General features: G+C 32.0%; 1 protein-coding gene across 4 annotated transcripts in view; it reads right to left on the reverse strand.

Annotated features, from left to right (window-relative positions):
• Window positions 1-18,869, reverse strand: part of EYS (eyes shut homolog) — a 1,987,247-nt gene that overhangs the window by 1,675,986 nt on the left and 292,392 nt on the right. For all 4 annotated transcript variants that reach the window (NM_001142800.2, NM_001292009.2, NM_001142801.2 and 1 more), the window contains 2 exons: window positions 9,209-9,402; window positions 6,513-6,640 (listed from right to left, as the gene is read on the reverse strand). In NM_001142800.2, coding sequence (NP_001136272.1) covers window positions 6,513-6,640; window positions 9,209-9,402 — 322 coding nt within the window. The remainder of the gene's footprint in view (window positions 1-6,512; window positions 6,641-9,208; window positions 9,403-18,869) is intronic.

Genomic DNA, 18,869 nt, shown 5'->3' on the forward strand with positions numbered 1-18,869 from the left:
GATTCATTTCACTTAGCATAATGCCCTCAACATTCATCCATGCTGCCGCAGATGACAAAATTTCCTTCTTTATGTGGCTGTGTAATATTACATGCATACACATGCAAACACATCACATCCTCTTTATCACAATAGCCAAGGCATGGAGAACACCTAAGTGCCTTCATTATTTCAATATCTGCAAAGTTTATTTATTTGCAACATTAGCATCTCCTAGGAGCATACTGTCTCAACTCAAAGATCTGAATCTTCCCTCTAACTCTACAATCTACTCCTACTCTAGTATGCTCTATACTACCATAATATATAACTACATCATCTTCTCAATGTTAACTTACATAATCTTAATGTTAAGTATTTTATATTCTATGCACGGCCTCATTTCTCTTTCTAATTTACTCCTTGTAGTCCTTTTCTCCCCCAACGTTTATTCCATCCCACAATCCATTGACCCTACCAATCTTCAGTGTCTGTCATCCCCATCATACTCTCTGTTGCCTCCTTGTGTGAATTAGATTACACCTTTTACTTCTATAATCACTAATTGCATACACCCTTAAATCACTCTTTCCCCTCCATTGTCATAGCCTGATAAAGCTCGACCCTACTTTAATTCAACACCCTAGCTATTTCTGACGGGTATATGAGTAAATTACACTTGGTTTGAGATTGACACATATTATTGTAGGCTGAACTTACTTTAAATCCATGTTCGCTAACTTCAAGGAGATGCTGTAGCATATCAGTAATACTCTATTTTCCTCATACTCACTTGGATTACTATTTCATTAGACATTTTTGCTTATTTCACTTGAGTAACAGAGCCATCAGAAGACACTTTCCAAATGATTCAACAACCACACATTCAAAGCAACCTATTCTATTTTTTCTTCTATTACAATTCATTTAACATCTGCCATCCTATCTAAGCTAACTCTTCTGCTTGTGCCCTATATCCCAACCCATTTCTACTACTATCTAAATATAAACTATTTTGAACTTTCCTTAGTTGCCAGTTTATTAGCTTCTCTAATAATTGTCTGTATTTTTATCATCCTAACTCATGGAGTCCTTTTAAATCTCATGTTCTAATCCATTAACTCCCTCAAATATGAGTGTCCCAAGTCTCAGTCGAAAACCTTCTCATGTTCCTATCTGGGTTCAATGTGAGGTAATTTCATTGAGTTTCCTGTTGTATTTTTATTTTTTCTAAGCTAACCTCTTTTATTTATTTATTTATTTTACATTTAGAGACTACAAGTGCAGTTTTTTGTTTGTTTGCTTGTTTTTTGTTATTTTAACATGGGTATATTACATAGCGGTGAAGTCTGGGCTTTTAGTGTACCCATAACCCGAATAGTGAACATTTTACCCAATAGTTCATATTTCATTCTTACACCCTCTCCCACCATCCCACCTTTTAGAGTCTCCAATATCTATTATTTTACCCTGTATGTCAATGTGTACCCATTGTCTAGTTTCCACTTATAAGTGAAAAGATTAGGTTTTTTACTTTCTGGTTCCGAGTCATTTCACTTATGATAATGGTCTCCAGTTCCATCCGTGCTACTGCAAAGACATGATTTTATTATTTTGGGTGGCTAAGTTGTATTTCATGGTGTGTGTGTGTGTGTGTGTGTGTGTGTGTGTGTGTGTGTGTGTGTGTATCATGTTTTTAATCCAGTCATCCATTGATGGACACTTAGGCTGATTCCATGACTTTGCTATTGTGAATTGTACTGTGATAAACATATGAGTGCAGGTGCTATTTTGATATAATGATTCCTTTTCTTTTGGCTAGATATCCAGTAGTAGCATTGCTGGATAAAATGGTAATTCTATTTTTAGCTCTTTGAGAAATCTTCATACTGTTTTCTATAGAGATGTACTAATTTATTTTTCTATCAACAGTGTGTAAGCATACCCTTCTCTCTGCATCCTTGCCAACATCTGTTGTTTCTTGACTTTTTAGTAATAACCATTCTGACTGGTGTAAAATGGCATCTCACTGTGGTTTTAATTTGTATTTATCTGATGATTAAAGATGTTGAGCATTTTTTATATGTTTTTTGGCTGCTTTTATATCTTCTTTTAAAAAATATTTGTTCATGCCTTTTGCTGACTTTTTAGTGGGGTTATTTGATTTTTTCCTTGCAGAGGTGTTTGAGTTTCTTGTAGATTCTGAATACTAGCCTTTTGATGTATGTTTTCCTTGAAAATGTTTCTCCTATTCTATAGTTTGTCTGTTTACTCTGGTGACTTAAAATTATACTAAAAGGTTATAGTAACCAAAACAGCATGGTATTGATATATAAAAATAGACACATAGATTAATGAAACAGAATAGAGAACCACATACCTACAACAAATTGATCTTTGAAAAAGTCAACAAAAATATACATTGGGGAAAGAACATCCTATTCAATAAATAGTGCTGGGAAAAATAAAGAATTATATGCAGAAGAATAAAACTAGACCCCTATCTTTTACCATATTCAAAAATTAACTCAAGTTAGATTAAAAACTTAAGACCTGTCATTTTAAAAATCCTAGAAAAAAAAACTAGGAGAAACTCTTCCAGACATTGGCCTAGGCAAAGAATTAATGACTAAGTTCTCAAAAGGAAATGCAACAAAACAAAAATAGACAAAAATTGAATATAATTAAACTAAAAGGTTTCTGCACAGCAAGTTTCCTGGTTTTAAATGTCATGTCTCTGGCACTGGCTTCCAAATTTATATATTTAGCCCGATAGCTTCTCTAAAATGGAAACATACTTGATATCTACTTCAATATCTCTACTTGGCTCTATTAGGTGTCTTGTCTAACATGTTCAAAACTGACATCTTGTTTTACACTCCTGCCAACCAGGCCCTTCTTTCTACAGATTTTTCCATTTTGGAAATGGTATTAGAAAACTGTTAAGGTTTATTTCCCAACCTTTCAATTGAGCAAACAACCTTAGAGTTACCCTTGACTTATTTCTGTTACCTCACATCTAATCCTTCAGCAAAAGATTGAACTATTCTTAGAAATATATTCCAGATCTGATCCTTAATTACCACCATCGCGAGTCATCTTGATGGCAGTGTCAGTCACCACCAACTCTGGGCTACATACTCATAGTAGCTTTCTAGCTGGTCTCCCTTCCCTTGGGAACATACACCTACACTCTATTTAATAAAATTGAGTCAGAGTGATCATTTAAAGCAGTATCTGCCTACTGGAATGTAAGTTTCTAATGAAAAGAGCTTTTTTTCTTTTTAATTTGTTTGGCCTTTTTTATGGTTGCAGAAGAGTTTTACTTAGAGTAGGAAAGTTTCTGAAAAATATATAAATATTCTTTAAATTAAACAAATTAGTCATTTCATGTCACCGCCCAAGTCAAGACCTTCCATTTCAATCAGTAAGATCCAAAATCATTATTATAAACAAATTATATAATGAATCAAATAAATTAGTTAGAAAATATTCTATACATAGCATAGTAAAATAATTTAGAAATACAGACATGAATAAAACACATTCTTCTTGAATATCTTACAGTAGAGTAGAATTTCTTAGTAATTCAAAATCATTTTCATAGTCAGCAATATTACAGAAATATTTGATTTTCTTTTAGTAGATAACTAATAATTGAGTGAGCAATAAAACTACTTGTATGGCTGAAGATTAACCATTTAAAATATGTGAGCAATCTAACTCAGTGGTTTGTAAAGAAGTTCAGTATATTTACGTGGAAAGTTTTCAGTTGTAAATAACATAATCCTAACTCAAACAGACTAAACCAATGCAGGGAATTATTGGCTCATATTGTTAAACTGTCTATAGGTAGTTCTTTCTTCATAAACAATTTGATCATTGTTCTGGCTCTCCTTTTAATCCTTTCAGCTCTATATCTGTTTTGGCTTTGTCTCCTTGCTGGACTTCATGGTTGCAAAATGACCTCCAGTTGCCCAATTACATGCTGCAATACAATTTCTTAGTGTTACTGTAGAGTGTGACTTTCATTTCCCTTTAAAACCTCTAGTAGGAGTTTCAGTGTTAATCTTAAGTGCAGACTTTCTTCCAAATGGTTCAAGTATCAACATGCAAAAGTGCCAAATATACCTTGAAAAAATTTACCTGCTAGGGCCAAACAAGCAAGTAGGGGGTAAAAAAGTTATTTCACTTTTGTAGACGGAAAGCAGTAATGCTGGAGAAGAGTGAGAGGAATTCTCTAGGAATTCCTAGTATTTGGATGGCTAAACCACCACCCAAATACTGGTCAAGTATCCTTTTTAAAATATTTGTTTCTTTTTTTGCAGTTGCTGTATTTCACAAACTCCATTTTATTTTCAAATAATTTTCCAAAGTATTCACATAAACAATCAAACCATTCTTCTATAATTTAAGAGAGTCACCAAAGTTGTATTCTATCTGTCTGATACCTCCAAGACATCAATTATTCCTTTTCCTTTCCTATCAGACTCTACTTGTGTGCTACCTGCTCCCAGCATTGCCACTTTTGATACTTTACAACTCCTTCTGCTCATAATAATAACATTTTTATGCTAACTTCCCATAGACACCTAAAGCTTTCAGTCTTCTAGGTGGTAAGGAATTTTCTGATTTTTAACTACTGGAGAAAATTAATTTCTTTCTAACTGTATTGCTTTAAGTTACTAGGTACCAAATAAAAATTTCCATAACCAATGTTTCACTGTCTTTCTCAGGGAGGTAATTTTGTTTCAGTTTCTCTCTCATCTACCCATATAAATTTAGATCTATAGCATATGTTCAGGTAGGGAAACTAATATCATCATAATCACTCTATTCTTCTCCTTTCCACATTTGACTCCTTTTCACCTTGACACATTTTTTTTCTCCCAAATTCAGAAGAGTAAAACTTCAGTAGAAGAGTAGTTAAACTAGTTGGAAGGTATAAGACAATTTCCCTCATTGAAGCTGTTTAAGGCCAAGCTCATCTTGACTAATAGTTCTCAAAGTATGGTGTCTCCAGATCAGGACAATCAGCATCACTTACGACTTGATTGGAAATGTACATTTGCAATCCTCATCCCAGATCTATTAAATTATAAACACTAGAGACAAGGAACAACCATTTGTACTTTAGCTCTTCAAGAAGTTCTAATTTCAAAGTGTTAGAGTCACTGACCTAGGAAAACATACCTCATAAGTTAGTAACACACAGATAAATCCTTAACATAAAAGCACTGAAGTCAAGTCGTTTTTATTTTTATTATTATATTCACTGATATTCTTTGACTCATATGAGAACAGAAAAATAGATTTCAAGATTAATTTCCTGTCATTTTTTTCAACTTCATACTTAATTAATATTTATTATATCTCTATTATTTCACCTGAGTCAGAGTTAGCAATTTTTTTTTAATCAGTCAGTTTTATGTTTGGGGAGGAGATGTATTTGTTTTTTTTTTTAAGTTGATCACTTTTCTAAGTACATTCACTAATCTACTAGCACATTGAGGCATAGAAATAGAATTGTAAATTAAAAGTAAATATTTTTAAAGGGATAGTATTCAGGTTTATTGATGAATTAATATACAATTGAAGGCATGCAAAAATTTGACAGAATGGATTACAGTTTTCAATATCTTGATATAATGATAAGGTTTATTGTCAGTTCTTTTGAAAAAGTCACATTTCAAAAGGTTAATTTAAAAAAAATCTTTAAATTTGGATTCCTTTGAAATAGATTAAAGTATCATACAGTGTGAAGTGGATGCATATTCTAAGTTTCTTTTCAGTGTGTTCCAAGGCTATTCTGTACCCCACATGTTAATTTTCTGCCTTTATGAATATTCTAAAATTTTGAGGCTACTTACTGCTTTTCAATAATGCCCAACAGAATTTACTTGAAGCAGTCAGATAAAAGTCAGGCAAGTGTGAAGAGTATAAATTGTATTTCTTAATGATGTGAGAAAATGTCTATAAAGCTATTTAAAATTGACTAAATTATACACCCAGATTCTTGGGTCACTTCTGCCATTTATAAATGAGTAATCTGTGGCAAATTATTACTTAAAGAAAGAATGAATTCCTAAAAGTCTGCCTAAAGACCCTAACTAATATCTATCTGCTGAGGTTTGTGAAACACAGGAAGAAATATTCTATTATTTTAAAATATTTCAATATTATATATGTATAACAAAAATAATACTATGGAGACATATCTCTCTCTTTTCTTTCTAGATCTTCAATTATTATTTGATTATATTAAAACCTCCATTATTAAACAAAGTATTTTTTAATAACCGTATACCTAAATTATGCTTGAGAATTTCTCAATTTCTCAAATATTTATTTTAAATTAATACCACAACAATTAACCCAAAACATGCAAAAAAAATTTACTTTAACTTCAAATAGAATATTATATACCATTAAGTAAAAGTTAGGGTTAAAACCAGAACATCATTATATTTTTGTTCACATGATTTAAAAATCCATGTACTTTGTATTAAAAATAAACAGAAAATTAATTATACCTGCAAGGATAATCTTTCTCACATTTCTTACATGTAGCATTATTCCTCAAAGGAAATGACTCACATGATGTTTGAATGCTCTTACAAAGCAAATCTGTAAATATTGGTGAACAGATGCACATAACATCCTAGGAAAGATTAAAAAAATATTTTTACAAAGTATTATGGATATTTCAAAGGTAATGAATGGGTTCTTACCTGGAGAAGGGTTAAAATTATTTTCATGAACTTGGAGTAGAAATTATCTGTCAGCAATGTGGCAGATTCTATTTTCCAAAATGTCACAACACCATCTCCCATCTCACACACTCTTCCTGCTATGTGAAATCAAAGCTCCTCTATTAAGAGTTAGCAACTATATTCCCTTCCTCTTGAATGTAAGCAAGATTGTGATCATGGAGACAATGATGCTTTAAAGGCCATATAGATTCTATCTAATTATCTTAGAATGCTTGCTCTTTGAACCCAGCCACCATGCTCTCAGGAAGCGCAGGCCACATGGAGAAATCATGTTTAGGATTGTGGCTAATAGGCCCAGTTCTGGGCCAAGCTAACAGCCAACATTTACTACCAGACATATGAATAAGAAAACCTTCAAGATGAAGTCCAAGTCTAGACACTTTCCGATGGCAACCTCAGAGGGACTCTAAACAATATCCTAGCTGAGACAAGTCAGCTCACAGTACCATAAGAGATAATAATAAAATAATTATTTTAAGCCACCAAGTTTTGGGGTGACTATGCATAGAAAATAAACCATTGGCACCTGAAACAAGTCCATGCATCCATGGGCAGGTAAAAATAAAATGAAATTAAATTTGCTGGGCAAAAGTTAATTTCACCTGCATTCAAAATACAACCTAATCATCATATTTCTTCCTCTTGCTGTCCTCCTTATTTTTTCCTCTCTTTTTTCTTTGTTATCCTTATCATCATCATCATTACCATCATTTTCATTATCATATTTATCTGAACAACAAGATTTATTAAGATTCCAAGGTAAAAAGCCCGTATACTTAAAATTGATGATTTTTTTATTCTCATTGAATCCAATCAAAATTTATTTAATTTAACCCAAAACTAACGTTGAAAGAGGTATATAGCTTGCCCAACCTCATACATGGTAGCAGTACAAATGATAACATGTACAATTTTCCAAGTAATTTATCTACAAAATAATTCTTCTAATGAATAATAGAGAATATTAAATAATGAGAATATTAAATAGAGAATATAAATAATGAATAATAGAGAAGAAAAATAGAATTAAAGTACTTCTATGAATTAATAGTTAAGCATACATCCACTAAAAGTCGCTTCTTATATTAAGATTCTTTTAACTAGTAAAGTTATAACATGTGTTCAATTGTTCATTATTGTCAACTTTAAAAGCAAAACATTTTAAACGATACTATTAATAGTTCTTGATAGATTATTGTATTAGTTTTCTATTTATATAACAACTTTTTATTTAAATAGCAAATTCTTACAAACTTAGTAGCTTGAAGCAACAACAACAACAAAAAATCATTATCTTAGAGTTCCAGAGGTCATAAGTCTGAAAAGTTTCAGAAGGCTAAAACCAAGATGTCTGCTGTGTCCCTTCTGTAGGCTCTACAGGAAAATGTTCCCCTGACTTTTCTAGCTTATTCTAGAGGATGCATTCATTTTTTCATTTATGGTCCCTTCCTCCATCTTTAAAACCAGCCTCATTACATCATCAAATCCCCCTTTGACTCTGATTCTTCCATCTCTCTCTTCCACTTTAAAGGACCCTTGTGATTACACTGGATCCACCCAAATAATCCAAGATAACATCAGCTGATTAGCAGCCTTTGTTCCATCTGCAATCTTAATTTCCTCTTGCTGGGTAACATAACACATGCACATATTCCCAGGATTAGTGCATGGACATTTTTATTTATTTTATTTTTATTTTATTTTTTGGTGGAGGATGAGGGGCATACATAGTCTGCTTACTACAATAATAGTTTCCTTGATTTTTAGAAGAAGCATGTATTATTGCTCTTTGCCCTTGTATCTCCAAATATTTGGGTCTAGTATATGGTACATTGGTAACAAATCTTTGTATATTGTAGAAGAAATATCAGGTGGAGTAAAAAATGTTCTTCTATAAACTTTTATCTGTATATTATGTTCTATATAATATAACTAATTCTTCTCAGCAAAAGTTCAGCAATTTTTTTGATAAAATGGACAATTCTCCAGGGGAAAAAAAATTCCTTTTCAGAGTGTTAGTAACAAAAAGTTTAGGAGGTTGGAAAAATAATCTCTTAAGGTTCTTTAAAGAATTAATGACAAATATGAATCTAAAATGAAAAGACAGTAATTTGTGAGAAGAGCTAATGAAATATTTCCTACTCTTATTTATTTAAATGTTAAATTGAAAAGTTAAAGTAAAACAATATTGAATAACTAAAAGATGAAAAAAAGCAATAAGTAGAAATGAAGAGTGTACAAATTTATATTCTTTTAAAAGGGAAAATACTGATGGAAGAGCAAAGTTTTTTCCTATATAAATAGGAAAAATTAAAATAAGTAGACCGTTCTTGTTCGTCTGAGTTTAACAATTAAACTACCTTAATAAGGATTCTAATTATTTATTCTTTTCAAATTGCTTGGTAATAGTAAAAAAAATTTAAAACCACTCACTTATATGTTAGATTGAGACTTACATTTGATATTTTGATGCAGTCAGTACCATTCTGACATGGTACTAATGAAAACTCACTGACATCAGTTTCACCATTTTGGCTGGAAGATCCTTTTGGGCATTCATAAGTATAAGCAGAACTGCTATTTGGGCAAATTCCTCTTTTCCAAAAAAGCAGAGAAACACAAGGTTTTGCTGACACCTCACAGAATGGACCTTAAAAAAATCACACACAAGAAAAAAAAAGAAAAGGAAGGAAGGAAAGAAGAAATGAGCATAGATATGTAGCAAAACATTCTAGAAAATTTCTCTAGAGTTTATGAAATATTTTTATTTAACAAATGTATTGCAGTGTAAGTTATATATTATAAAATTCATTCATTGCAATTCTACAGTAACTTTTGCAAATGTATAGAGCTACTCAAGCATCATCACAATACAGTTTTAGCACAATTCCATTACCCAAAGAAGAGCTCTTTTGTAGTCAATCTTTGTACCCAAGCCCAGTTCCAGGCATTTCATTAGAAAGGTATGATGGAGTATTTGGTCTTTTGCGACTGGCTTCTTTTGCATAGCAATTTTTTTTAAAGAATTTTCACGTTGTATCATATATCAGTAGTTGGTACTTTATATTGCTAAAGAGTAATTCACAATATATACATTTTGTTAATCCATTCATCCTTCAGTGGACATCTGTTTTCAGTTTTTGGTTCTCATGAATCATGAATTCATATACAATTATTCGAAGGAATATGCTTTTTTTATATTTCTTGAAAAGAATCCCAGGAGTGGAATTGCTGGATTTTATGGAAAATTCATGTTTAATATTTTAGGAAACTGCTAAACTGTTTTTCAAAGTAGCTGTGCCATTTTAACATTCCCACCAGTGATGTGTCAGATTTATGTTTCTCCACATTCTTGCCAACATTTGATATTGTCCGTTTTCTTTATTATAGTCATTCTAGTAAATGTACAATGGTATCTCACTGAGGCTTAAATTTTCATTCACTAATGACTAATTATTTTTAGCATCTTCTGGTATGTGTATTAATCATTTGTATATCTTCAAAAATGAAATGTCTTTTTAAATCTATTAACTATTTTTAAATTGTGTTATCAGCTTTCTTATGATTGAGAGCATTTTTTGAGTGAGTTCTTTGTATATATTGAATAAAAGTCCTTTATGATATACGTGATTTGGCTTTCCATTTTCTCACTTGTTGACATTTGGATAGCAAAAGTTTTTATTTCATGAAATCCAATTTTTCTACTTTTCCTTTAATTAAGTCCATTTTGTCATTTTTATGTCATATATTTTGGTATCATATAATTGGTGTCTAATAATATTTTGCCTAACCCAAGGTCATGAAGACATTTTAATATATTTTATAATTTTAGCTCCTATGTTTAGATTCCTAATCCATTTGAGTTTATTTTTTATATGGTGTGGGATAACGACTTAGCTTATATGTTTCACATATACACATACAATTGTTATGACACTTTTTTCTTTTAAGACTGTCCTTCCCTCATTTCTTTGTTTGTTTGTTTAAAAACTGTTAAAACTGACCTATTATATGCCTTTTTATGTGCAATAAAGTTGCACATAGATATGCAAGAAAGTTGATTTCTGGCATATCTATTTTTTTCCTGATTTATATGCCTTTTTATGTGCAATAACCCATTGACCAGATAAATACATAATGCATATAGCTATATAGTAGGTTTTGAAATTGGGTAGTCATTCAACCTTTCCATCTTTTTTTCCAAAAATATTTTTGGCTATGCTATGGATTCTTTTTATAGTTTCCTATAAATTTTTCTATGAGCTTGTCAATTTCTACACAGAAGCCTGCTGGAATATTATAGGAATTTTATTAAATCAATAGATAAAATTGGGAAAAATTTCCATCCCAACAAGATTGAATTCCAATCGATGAATATGCAATGTATCTCCATTTCTTTGGCTATTCTTGCATTTCTCTCAGCATTGTTGCATAGCTTTATGTTAAAGTCTTGCATTTATTTGTTAAATTCATATCTAAGCATTTTGAAGGTCATGTAACTAGACTTGCTTTCTTAATTTTATTTTTGAATTTTATTTTTATTCATTTATTTTTTTCAGTCATAGTCTCGCTGTGTTGCCCAGGCTGGAGTGCAGTGGCATGATCTCAGCTCATCACAACCTCCAGCTCCTGCATTCAAGTGATTCTCCTGCCTCAACCTCCCAAGTAGCTGGGACTACAGGCATGCATCACCATGCCCAGATAATTTTTGTATTTTTAGTAGAGATGGGGTTTCATTATGTTGGCCAGGCTGGTCTCGAACTCCTGACCTCATGATCTGCCCGTCTCGGCCTCCCAAAGTGCTGGGATTACAGGCGTGAGCCACTATGCCCGGCCTTGAAGTATTGTTTTTAATATACAGAAAGGCAAATTACTTGTATATGTTAGCTTGTAGTCTGAAAACGGTATAAACCCATTTACTAGTGCTAGTAGTTCTTTGGGGGGATTCCTTAGGATTTTCTACATATTAGATCATGTCATTTGTGAATAAAGACAGTTTTACTGCTTTCCTTTCAACTAATAAGTCCGTGTGTGTGTGTGTGTGTGTGTGTGTGTGTGTGTGTGTGTGTATGTCTAACAAATAGCCTGGAACTTCCTATGTTCCAGTGTTAAATAGAAATGGTGAAAGTAGATATCATAGTCTTGTTCCCAATTCTTCCAAGAAAAGCTGTCAGCCTGACACCTTTAATGTGGTGTTCCCTGGACATTTGTCATAGATGCTTTTTATCAGGCTGAGGGATTGTGTTTCTATTTCTAATTTGTTGAGAGTTTTTATAATGAATAGGTGTTAGATTTTGTGATATGTTTTTCCTGCAACTATTGAGATGATTATGTAGGCTTTGTCCTTTATTATATTAATATGGTATATTACATTAATTGACTTTCAGATATCAAACTTATCTTGAATCCTGGGGAAAAAATCGTACTTTATCAGGATAGAAAAAAATATGTTTATATGTGATTGGATTCAATTTGCTTATATTTTGGTGGAGATTTTCTATCTTTATTCATAAGTGATATTGGTCTTTAGTTTTCTTGTGGCAGCTTTGTCTTTGGTTTTGGTATGAGGGTAATACTGGCCTGATAGCATGACTTCAAAAGTGTTCCTTTCTCTTCTCTTTTTTCCTTTTCTCTTCTTTTAAGAGATTAGTGCCAGTTATCGAGGATTGGTACTAATCTCTTAAATATCTGGCAGGTCTATATGAATTTTCCATTTCTTCTTGAGTCACTGTTAGTAATTTACATATATTTAAGAATTTATTCATTTCCTCTAAGTCGTCACATTTGTTGGCCTAATGTTGTTCATAATATCTCCTTATAATCTTTTAAAGTTTGAGCGGTCATTAATGAGTCCTCACTTCCAATGCTTATTTTATTTACTTGTGTCTTTCCTTGTATTTTTTCCTTGTTCATTCCGACTAAAGATTTGTCCATTTCGTTTTCCTCAAAAATCAATTTTTTTGTTTCATTGATTTTCTCTAAGAAGTTTTAATGATTTCTGTGCAAATCTTACTGTCCTCTTTTGTTTGTATGCTTTGCATTTAATGTGGTTTTTTTCCATTTATTTAAGGCTGAAGCTTAAAATATTGATTTGAGAGTTCTTTTTCTGGTGTAGAAACTTGGAACTATAAGCACTGTTATAAGTACTTAAGCACAGTATAAGCACTGTTTTAGCTAAGCACTGTCTTAGCTACATTTCATAATTTTTCATATGGTTCCATGTTATTTTTTTCTTCTTTACTCTCAGGTTATTTCAGAAATATGTTGTTTATAATAATTTCCAGATATGTGAAGATTTCTAGAAACAATTCTGTTGTTAATTTCTAATTAGTTTTGTGAGGGTTGAGGAACATATATGATATGATTTGTATTCCTTTAGATTTATTAAGACTAATTTTCTTGCCATGCCTATTTGTCAATACACTATCAACAGCAGAGTTGTACAGTGAGGTTTGGCACTTGAAGGGATGTGAAAGCAAGTGCCTCTTTAAACTTGATTTCCTAGGCAAGTCACTTGCCTCCCCTTAGTCCCCACCCTACTAAGATTATGCAAATAGAGTTAACAAACTAGTATTATTAAGGCCCAAGCCTGGGGTACCCACTGCAGCTTGTATAGAACTTGGATCAGCAGGTGTTTCACTTCACAGTTAACAAATACTTGTCAATCTGTTCAATGTGCTGTCATTAGGCACACCATAGTGACATTAAAACGTAACTGCAGTAGTAGGCTGACAGGCCTTGCCATCTCTGTGAACTTCTAGATTTTGAAAACAAATTTTACTCTTTTACTCCTCTTACCTTGAGTAAGGCTTTGGACAATTGATACATGTTAGAAAAAACTGAAAAGGGAGACATCTGACTCCTAGCTAAAAATGATATACGTGGACTTTGAAAATTAAGGTATTCGTACTTCAAGTTTATAACCATTTTCATCCAAATCACTATATAGTGCAAGAGTTTTTAGTAAACAACATATTTATTGAAAAATTTCTTATATCCAACTCATTTATTACTATGTGAAGAGGAGCATCAAGAAATACTTATCTACAAAATATTAAGTTACTTAGTGACAACTTACTAGCCAGAAAACACTGCTTAGATTATATAATATTAACTCATTTGGATTTTGGATTGTGTCAGTTTGTAAAACAGACAGTCATAAAGGCAGTATAAAATGTTCAGTGACCACACCATTGACATTATTATTTGAAAACAACTCAACCTTTAATTTGTGGATATTTATTAATATATAAGCATTTATTTTGATCATACAAAGAGTAAATATGTATTTCTCCATGTTATGATACATTAACATAATGTTTTCCTTTTAAATAATCAAATATTGATATTTGATTAGATGTTTAGTGGTACTTAATTAGACATAAATATTATTTGAAATTATAGTAAAACATTGTTTGAATGATACTACCTTATAAGTATGTAATTCTTGGCATTTCCATAGTGCTTACATCCATAAAGATTTGATAAAATTCTTAAAACAAAACCTGAAATTTATAGAGGTCTATTCTTACCCAGTTTTATTTTAGTTGACACATTGTAATGGTACATATTTATTGAGTATAATTTGACATTTTGAAACATACCCATGTGGTATAATGATCCAATCGGGATAGTTAGTATATCTATCACCTCATGCCTTTATCATTTATTCGTGGCAAGAACATTCAAAACCATCTCTTCTAGCCGTTTTGTAATATATAGCACCTTACTTAAGCATAGTCACTCTGTGCAATCAAACAGCAATACTTCTTCTTCTTATCTCATTGTACTTTGTACCTGTTGACAAACCTCTACCCATTTTCCCTCTTCCTTCCCCTCCCCAGTCTCTAGTAACCACTGTCCTACTTCTATGATACTAGCTTTTTTTTTTTTTTTTTAGATTTCACTTATGAGTGAGATCATGAAGTTTTTGCAGTTTTTGTGTTTCTGTGTCTGGCCTATTTCAATTAACATGATGTATATCTCCAAAAGGAATTGAAGTCAGTATACCAAAGAGATATTTTTACCCCCTGTTTATTGCAGCATGATTTATAATAGCCAAAAAATGGAATCAACCTAAGTGTTCAACAATGGAAGAATGGATAAAGAAAATGTTAACTATATACAAAATAGTATACTATTCAGCCATATAAAATAATTAAATTCTGCTATTTGTGAGAAGGATGGAAATGGTGGATATTATGTTAAGTAAAATAAATGAGTTTTATATTTTCATTTTATTTTATTTAAAAGAAACTAATTTTTCTAGATGTTAAGCAATTTGCCACATGTCACACATCTGGTTAATTAATGGAAGATTGATAATTTTAAAAACTGCATACCACCTAATCCCATAATAATTCCATGCTCTTTTCACAGCAATACTTGCCCAGATTAATTCTGTACAAAAAATAGAAGACTCAAATACCATTTGATTGTTAGTACTAGACCAATATTTCTACTCTCAGATAAAATGTTGTTCAACATCACATGTTGAATATAAAAATATACAAAAACAAATGCATTTTATTTGGCTTCTTCCAGAAACAAACAAAATTCTCCCAATGTATAAATATATCCTGTGTGTATATTTGTCATGGCAGTTTCCAAAGTAATCCATTGGGTAACATAGTAAACAGTGAAATGTGTGATTTTTCACATTTCATTTTGAAATAGTAATAGATTCATAGAAAATTACAAAGTTAATACCAGGAAATCCTGAGTATGTTTACATCTTATGTAACTATAACACTATATCAAACTAGAAAATTGGCATTAGCATAATATTTGGGTATAGTTCTATGTCATTTCATCACATGTGTAGATTGAGGTAATCACCACTATAAAAATGTGAACCATTCCATGATTACAAAGATCTCTCTCATGCTACCCCGTTATAATCTTACCCACTTCTCTGCCCTCTACCATTTCCTGATCACTGACAACCATCGATTTTCTCCATCTCTATAGTTGAACTATTTTGATAATGTTCTTTAAATGAAACCATACAATATGTAACTTTTTGGAATTGTCTTTTTTGTCCCTCTTGTTATAATGCCCTTGAGATACATTAAAGCTCTTATGTGCACCAATACGTCTTTTTTTTTTTTTCGGTTAATTGGTAAATAGTAGTATCTGGTATGAATGTACCACAGTTTGTTTAACCATTCACTTATTGAAGGACACTTTTATTGTTTCCAGTTTTTCACTATTACAAATTGCTAGGGACTGAAAATTTGTGTCCCCCACATATTATGTTGAAACCTAATCCTCAATACAATAGATTTGGGGTGGGAATTTTGGGATGTAATTAGATTATGACAGTGGAGCTCTCATGTATAAGATTAGTACCCTTATAATAATCAGATAGCTTGCTATCCCTCTCTCAGCTCTTTACCATGTGAGGATACAACAAAAAGACAGCCATTGACAAACCATGAAGTGTGCCTTACCAGGCAACAGATCTTCTGAGACCTTGATCTCTATTGCCCAGCCTTCAGGACTGTGATAAATAAATGTTTAAGCCACTTAATCTGTGTTAATTTGTTATAGTAGCCTAAACTGACTAAGACACAAATAAAGCTACCACGAATATTAATATATAGGCTTCAGTGTGAAAGTAAATTTTTATCCTACTAGGATTTGCTGGGTCATATGGTTAAGGCATGTATAGTTTTTAAAGAAACTGTCAAATTGTTTTCCAAAGTGGCTGTACTAGTTTACATTTTCCACAGCAATGTATAAGAGATTTAGTTACTCCTCATATGCACCAGCATTTCGTGTTATCATTTTTTTATTTTAGCTATTTTAATAGGTATGTAGCAACATATTATTGTGGCCTTAATTTGCATTTATCTCATGGTCAGTGACATTGAACATCTTTTCATGTACTTATTTGCTATCCTTATAGCTTCTTCAGTGAATTTTCTCCTTGTATTTTTTGTCTATTATTTATTGAGATTTTTGGATTTTCATGGTATTGAGTTTTGAGATGACTTTCTGTTATCTATATATGAGTCCTTTGTCATATATGTGGTTTGCAAGCCTATCACTTGTCTTTTAATCTTCTTAACATGGTATTTCTAGAAAAAAATAGTTTATTTTTATGAACACTGATTTATCTATTTAGTTTTTCTTTTATGAGTTGTGCTTTTAGTGCCATATCTAAGAGCTCTTGCAGTGATCCATCCTCATAAGCTTGACCCCAAGATTTCAAAATGGGGAGAACTGCTTTTTCTGAGGTGAAAGCATTTTGTTGTGCACATTTTAAGATGTGATTTTCTGTGCCTTGGATTTTTAATTTACCTGATCCCATCACTTCTCAATTTCCCCAGAATCCCTGAATAAAAAGTCTGATAATGGTCTCCATGTTATGCTTCAGAAACACCATATTTGTTTATTTTAATGGAATGTTTGATGAAAAGAAAATGATCATATATGCCTAGACCCCCAAATTAAGATATCAGACTTTTTCTTATGTAAAATATTCTTCATCACAGCTATGAAGCAATTAAAATAATACTTTAATTAATTTAGAATAATGTGTCTATTGACACTGATTATATGTCAAGAAATATTCTATATACTTGGATTATAGCAATGTACAAAATAGATTTTGACCTCATGAAGTCATGAATTTACAAGGAAATAGAACACATTTAAAATACATATAATCAATTAATTATATAGTACATTTACTAGTAATAAATGATGTTAAGAAAAATAAATCAGTAAAAGGATTTCTAAGAAGAGTACTTAAGAGAGGGGGCACATTGTGCAGCCTCAAAGATGCAAGGAATATCTAAGATTTATAGAAATAATGGAATGAGTCCTGTGGATAGGTTGTTTAAGAGCAAAGTGGGCCAGGTGCTGTGGCTCACACCTATAATCCCAGCACTTTGGGAGGCTGAGGCGCACCGATCATGAGGTCAGGAGTTCGAGACCAGCCTGGCCAATATGGTGAAACCCGTCTCTACTAAAATACAAAAATTAGCCAGACATGGTGGCAGGCACCTGTAACCCCTGCTACTCGGAAGGCTGAGGCAGAAGAATTGCTAGAACCCAGGAGGCAGAGCTTGCAGTGAGCCGAGATTGCGCCACTGCACTCCAGTATGGGCGACAGAGGGAGACTTTGTCTTAAAAAAAAAAGGAATAATGTGAACACCAACTTCCCACATCTTGTTGTATTTACATTTTTCAGTTCAGATAATGTTCTAAAATAATATATTATATAAGGATTTGTGTATATAATTTGTTGCCTTCATTTAAATATAAGCTCTACTTGGGCAGGTAATTCTGTTTGTTTTGTTGGCTGATTTATTACAAGCAAATAGAATGCTGCTACCCCACAATAGATTCTCAATAAATATTTGGTGAAAAAACAAGTAAATGAATAAATAAAGAGCATATCAACAGAGAAAACAGCAAATGCAAAGACTTTGAGTTGAGAGCATGCTTAGGTATTCAAGAAACAGAACGAAAGCTAAGAGACTGAGTCAACAATTGTATGGGTATGGAGATGAGCTCAGACGAGGATGTAATAAACTATTTCAGGAATTCTGGCATTTACTGCTTTTAGATTCTATGGAAAGATTATGGAGCATTTTGTTCTAAATAGTGGCATGATTTCACATTTTCAAAATATTTCTTCACAAGTAGCCTGTAGATGTCCAAGAAGGAAAGCAGAGAGACAAGATTTTAGACTACTGCAGTATTGCAGTAATGGAATTATAGAGACTGGATTAGGATGCTAGTGAAGAAGACAGTGAGAAAAAAATCATGCTCTAAATATATTTTGAAAGTACAGTCATCTACATTTGTTGATGGATTTAAAGTGAAGGAAAAGGAAAAGGAAGATTTAATCTTTTTTTTTTATGTAAGTAACCAGAAAGAAAGGATTAATCTTTTCTAAGATAAGGAAAAAGAATTTAAGGGAAGAAATCAGAATCACTTTTAGATATGTTAATTTCAAGATATTTATTACACATCCAAGTGAGGTTGGTTTATAGGCAGTTAATTAGAGTGATCTGCAGTTTCCGGGGTGAGGTCATAAGTGAAGATAAATATTTGAGATTTGCCTGTATGAGGATAGTATTTAAAGCCAAGAGAACAGGTATG

The sequence above is a fragment of the Homo sapiens genome, chromosome 6 (genome assembly GCF_000001405.40).
Source record: "Homo sapiens chromosome 6, GRCh38.p14 Primary Assembly".
NCBI lineage: Eukaryota > Metazoa > Chordata > Mammalia > Primates > Hominidae > Homo > Homo sapiens.